The 6000-nt window shown below is 38.2% G+C and overlaps 1 protein-coding gene across 1 annotated transcript in view, besides 1 other annotated feature; it reads left to right on the forward strand.

Moving 5' to 3' along the window:
- NXPH1 (neurexophilin 1) overlaps positions 1–4549 on the forward strand; it is a 319353-nt gene extending 314804 nt beyond the window's left edge. The window contains exon 3 of the mRNA NM_152745.3: positions 2596–4549. Coding sequence (NP_689958.1) covers positions 2596–3357 — 762 coding nt within the window. The 3' untranslated portion in view covers positions 3358–4549. The remainder of the gene's footprint in view (positions 1–2595) is intronic.
- Positions 3587–3881: a silencer, noted in NCBI's record as "tiled region #4649; HepG2 Repressive non-DNase unmatched - State 24:Quies, and K562 Repressive DNase matched - State 5:Enh". NCBI's record gives its function as "represses a minimal TATA promoter and a strong SV40 promoter by Sharpr-MPRA in HepG2 and K562 cells {active_cell/tissue: HepG2 | K562}" and the evidence as "EXISTENCE:reporter gene assay evidence [ECO:0000049][PMID:27701403]".
- Positions 4550–6000: the final 1451 nt, after the last annotated feature.

Below are 6000 nucleotides of genomic sequence, written 5' to 3' on the forward strand. Positions count from 1 at the left end.
CACTAATGGCCGTCTGATAGCCCCATTTGACTCCACAGCAGGGTGTTTGCTTATTGTGGGGAGCAGACACTTTAAAAGGACTGACTGCATACACGAGGCTGGTCCGTGTTTCTCTTAGATGTGACCTTGCCCTGACAATAGTCCAGAGACTGATTCTCCATTGGTCAGTGTTATCTATTCTTCCTTCATCTCTGCACACAATGGCCCTCTGCATCTTTCCATGAGGGCATTGCTATTGCCTTGGGGATCACAGCAGATGCAACTGTACTCGAGCTAGCAGCCTCAAAGAGTTCACAGTTTTTTTTGTTAGCCTACCCAGAGTTTCAGTTTTGGCTTTTCAGGGTGCTGTCATGGGATACAAACGCATGATGAAGTTGCGTTTTATCTCTGATGCAATGAATTTTCATGGAGACAAACTTGCAGGGTTTTTAAGCTCAGCATTATTAGGAAGATGACAGCTTCAGCTGGTATTCTTTCTGTGGTGAGAATAGTCCAGCCACACTCATGTTACCTCAATTTGAACAGGCAAATAGGAGACTGCTTCTTGGCTTGAAAAGAAGGTTTACAAGATCTAAGAGCTTTTGTTCTAGTTGAGATGACGAAGGTTCTCTGCATCTATGTCCCTGGGGGAGCCCATTTTTTTCCACATTCCAAGCACTTGGCTGTGTAATCCTGTGCAAAACTTCTCCCAGGCAAGATCTCCATATGTATTATTTGGTTGCTTTCTCTAATTCTCCTCAAACATCAGCTTAGTATTCACAATAATAGCTACATTTATTGAGCCCTTTCCAAATGCCAGCCACTGTTCTAAAGGTTTTACCTGTTTAGCTCACTCAATCCTCACAAACTTATGAAGTAGATATCATATTGCCTACATTTTACAGATTCAGGAAACAGAGGCAGAGGGAAGTTAACTAACTTGACCAGGGGCACACAGCTTGGCAGTGTCAGAGCTGGGAGGGAATTCCAGGGAGTCTGGCTCTAGAATTTATGGTCTTGCTCTCCAGGGATTGAGAGCGCATCCTTTCAGTAACAAGTGGTTGAGTAAAATGCTATTTTCAGGTCACATTTGTATCCTAACAAGAGTCCCACACAGCTAAGTCTAGGGAAGTGTCCCTGGAACACAGCTATAATTCCTAATGGGCCTGAATTTTAAAAAGCTTTCCAGGAATGACCATTCATTTTAAGAACAGTGTGGAAGGAGACTGGAGGGTCCAATGAAGCTGCTGAGTAGTAATCAGGCTGGTATCTGAGACAAGACTCAGAACTGGTTCTCCAGGGGCATGGCAATATAAGTCTATTGTGAAATGTGGCTTTTTAATGGGTAGCTGGGGACTCCATTCAACAGCCTTACCTTAAAACAGCAAGTCCGCATATTGAATGGTTTACTGGTCTTGGCTATTTTAGTTCCCGTGGGTCCTTAGTTCTGTTAGCTCCTGTCCTTGATTCTTCCATGTCAGGATAAGAAGTTACTGCTTTAACTACAGGCCAGTGTGGTCATTGTGGCCACTGGTTCTTCTGTATCTCTGTGCAGTTCGAAATACAATTCTTTCCTAAGAAATAATTTTGCGGTCCTAGGAGAACAGTGTCTGCATGTGACTCTCACAATCCACCCTGAAGTGACCTCTCAGTCATTGACCACATGTTGTTGGTTTCTCTAGAACTGACAATTACTTAAAGTCACGTTCCTAGATCACATGTTAAGCCCTGCAAGGTAAAAAATTATGTCTTATTCAATATATTCATTGCTTATTATAGGTGATAGTAAACATGTTATTTTGTTTTGACCGGTTAAAATATACCAGAGTCTCTTTGCAAGACTAACTTTTCTAATATGACTGTAATATGGATAACGAAATAGTCTAAAGGGTGTCAGTTGACATATGTCTGAGAATCACAGTTTATTTCATATTTATATATTTCTTCTAACAAAATGGGATACATGTGCAGAATATGCAGGTTTGTTACACAAGCATACATGTGCCATGGTGTTTTGCCGCACCTATTGACCCGTTCTCTAAGTTCCCTCCCCTCACCTCTCCACCCCTCAACAGGCTCTGGTGTGTGCTGTTTGCCTCTCTGTGTCCAGAGAATCATACAGTTTTAAAGCTTAGGGTAATTTTGAAATAGAAAAAGAACATAATGATTTATAAAATTTGATTTCAAAAATGTTTGAATTTTTGTGCTAAGAAGTAATTACTTTGGTTTATATTTGAATTTACTTTGCTTTATTCATGCTGGGTGGCCTTTTCTTCCATTAACCAGTGGTTTTATATAATTTTCAGGTCATATTTAGTAGTTTTTCCACCCACATCTCCCTTCTTCCATTGTTATACAAAAATATAAGTGGTGTTTTATCACATATTAAAAAATATTGGCCAGATGCTGATGGTGCTTTTAAAACGTAATTATTTAATTCTGAGACTCTGGGAGAGGGGGCTTAGATCTCTGCTTTGGGTGTTCTTCTCAGATGCGGTGCTTTTAAAAAAAAGTGTAATTATTTAATCCTGAGACTCAGAGAAGGCTTAGATCTATGCATTGGGTGTTATTCTCAGATGCAGAGATGTAAATGCCATTTTTCTCTTCTGTTTTCAGGTCACATGTGCCAATTTAACGAACGGTGGAAAGTCAGAACTTCTGAAATCAGGAAGCAGCAAATCCACACTAAAGCACATATGGACAGAAAGCAGCAAAGACTTGTCTATCAGCCGACTCCTGTCACAGACTTTTCGTGGCAAAGAGAATGATACAGATTTGGACCTGAGATATGACACCCCAGAACCTTATTCTGAGCAAGACCTCTGGGACTGGCTGAGGAACTCCACAGACCTTCAAGAGCCTCGGCCCAGGGCCAAGAGAAGGCCCATTGTTAAAACGGGCAAGTTTAAGAAAATGTTTGGATGGGGCGATTTTCATTCCAACATCAAAACAGTGAAGCTGAACCTGTTGATAACTGGGAAAATTGTAGATCATGGCAATGGGACATTTAGTGTTTATTTCAGGCATAATTCAACTGGTCAAGGGAATGTATCTGTCAGCTTGGTACCCCCTACAAAAATCGTGGAATTTGACTTGGCACAACAAACCGTGATTGATGCCAAAGATTCCAAGTCTTTTAATTGTCGCATTGAATATGAAAAGGTTGACAAGGCTACCAAGAACACACTCTGCAACTATGACCCTTCAAAAACCTGTTACCAGGAGCAAACCCAAAGTCATGTATCCTGGCTCTGCTCCAAGCCCTTTAAGGTGATCTGTATTTACATTTCCTTTTATAGTACAGATTATAAACTGGTACAGAAAGTGTGCCCTGACTACAACTACCACAGTGACACACCTTACTTTCCCTCGGGATGAAGGTGAACATGGGGGTGAGACTGAAGCCTGAGGAATTAAAGGTCATATGACAGGGCTGTTACCTCAAAGAAGAAGGTCACATCTGTTGCCTGGAATGTGTCTACACTGCTGCTCTTGTCAACTGGCTGCAAAATACACTAGTGGAAAACACTCTGATGTAATTTCTGCCCAGTCAGCTTCATCCCTCAGTATAATTGTAAATCATCACAGATTTTGAATTCACACCTGAAGACATGCTCTCACATATAGAGGTACACAAACACACCGTCATGCACATTTCAGCTTGCGTCTATCATGATTCCTGTTGAGAGGGCTTTCATTGTCTGACTCATAATGGTTCAGGATCAACTATCATCAAACGGAAGGATTAACTAGACAGAGAATGTTTCTAACAGTTGCTGTTATGGAAATCTCTTTTAAAGTCTTGAGTACATGCTAATCAATAATCTCCACTCATGCATTCCTACTGCTTGGAGTAGCTGTACTGGTAAATACTACTGTAGGAGTATCTGCTTGTTAAAATGGAAAAATGTGTCTTTAGAGCTCAGTATTCTTTATTTTACAAACACAACAAAATGTAGTAACTTTTTTCCAGCATACAGTAGGCACATTCAAAGTGGTCCAAGATGGCTCTTTTTTCTTTGAAAGGGGCCTGTTCTCAGTAAAGATGAGCAAACATTTGGAATTTACATGTGGGCAGACATTGGGATAACAACTTTCATCACCAATCATTGGACTTTTGTGAAGTTGACACCAGCTAAGGCTGCTTAAAATAAGTTCTGATCATTATATAAGAAGGGAAATGCCTGGCAGACACCATGTAAGTTATAAGTGTCTGTCTTATCTTTACTACACATATTGTAACAAATTCAATATCCTAGTCTTCATTTGTATGAATGGTTTGTATTGTACATAGTTTAACCAAGTGTTATTTGAGCTGCTTATTAATATTAACTTGTACTTGTCTCTCTGCTTGTTATTGGTTAAGAAAAAAGGATATGAGGAATTCATTTTATCAATGTAGCTGTGAAGGCCATTAAAAAGACAAACTTAATGTACAGAGCATTTATTCAGATCAAGTATTGTTGAAAGCTATACATATACAACATTACAGTCTGTCTGTATTTAGATATTTTATTTCTGGAAAAAATGAAATGTACATAAAAATAAAACACTTAAAGTTGAGTTTCAATATGTACTTGTGTAAGATGGTGATTTAAATGGTTCTGACAAGAAGAATGTGCTGGAATACAGTCCTGGCTTTGCATCTCATATCTCTAAATTTGTACAGAACTATCTAAACTGCTGTTAGTTGCCCAGTCAAAACAACTTAAGAGTTTCAATCTGAAGCCTGGGGAATTTGTGGCATATAGCATTGCATACATTTTTGGTTTGGTGTCATGCTAGTTATTCAAGAATACCAAAAATCAATGAACATCAGGAGATAATTGAGGTCTCCTAAATTAATTATATATAGTTGAATTATTTCCTGACCAGTCTTTATTTAGCAGAAGAACGGAAGTGAAAGCATTCTTTTTGCTTTAGCAGAGTCAAGATGCCTGAAGATTGTGGCTGAATTTTCCTGATTATACTGTAATGACTCAACTCAACTGAAGAAATTGTGATAACATTGGAGGGCTTCAATGCTCAATTTACCTATAGCAGATTGGATCAACTTTATATATATATAGAGAGAGAGAGAGAGCGAGAGAGAGAGAAAGAGAGAGCATTGTTTGTTTATGGACATTAACTTTATTTTAAAAAATAATTGCTGTACACAATCTCAGCAAAATAACCAGATGAATAGTTGCTGTACACAATCTCAGCAAAATAACCAGATGAAGAAATATGGGAGGTGACCAATTTTTAAAGCCACGAGTTGGGAATCGGAATTTGAATTGTTTCAAAGGTTAACAAACTATGTCAAATTAAGAACACAAATTCATTATCATCTTCCCCTTATGGTACTTAGAAATAAGTCTGTTTTCATACAGAAAATAATGAAAGTACTGCAAGAGAAACAAAACCAGAGTTCTAAAGTGAGAACTCAATGACCGATTTGATTAACGACAGTCAACTGCAAATTGAGCACTCATTACTCTGTTAAATGTCCATTTCTTGAAATGCTCCAAAATATCTAGACCATTTATATCAATATAGTTATTAATTAATTAATTTACCATGGAATTTAGAAGCTAATGTTAGAACGGCGTCTCTTTGGCACAACAGGCAGTAAGACCTTAATGAGTCCTGGCTGCTGAACATACTTGCCGTAGATAAATCTTGTCATTCTGGAGTTTACTTATCAAAAGTGATCACTTAGGAATTAGTTGGCTCTTAGCAAACATGAGAGTAAGTAAGAAAGGAAAAAATATATCTTTAAAGGATCCTTCGATTAGCGGACTATGAGTCTCATTGTATGGTCTGATCTGTCATTTTGTAATACAAAATTCAAAGTAAGATAAAAATGTACTTCAGTCTCCAACCCTCTATCTTGCATTCTAACCTCCCAATGAAATGTAGCTTATACAGTTTTATAAACACACAGAACACAGCTAACTAACATTCATAGACTGAAATGTTTTACTGAGATTTTCTTTAGAAGAAAAACAAAATAAGAAGAAAAGATGTAGCAAACTTCCA

The sequence above is a fragment of the Homo sapiens genome, chromosome 7, assembly GCF_000001405.40.
Source record: "Homo sapiens chromosome 7, GRCh38.p14 Primary Assembly".
Taxonomy (NCBI): Eukaryota; Metazoa; Chordata; class Mammalia; order Primates; family Hominidae; genus Homo; species Homo sapiens.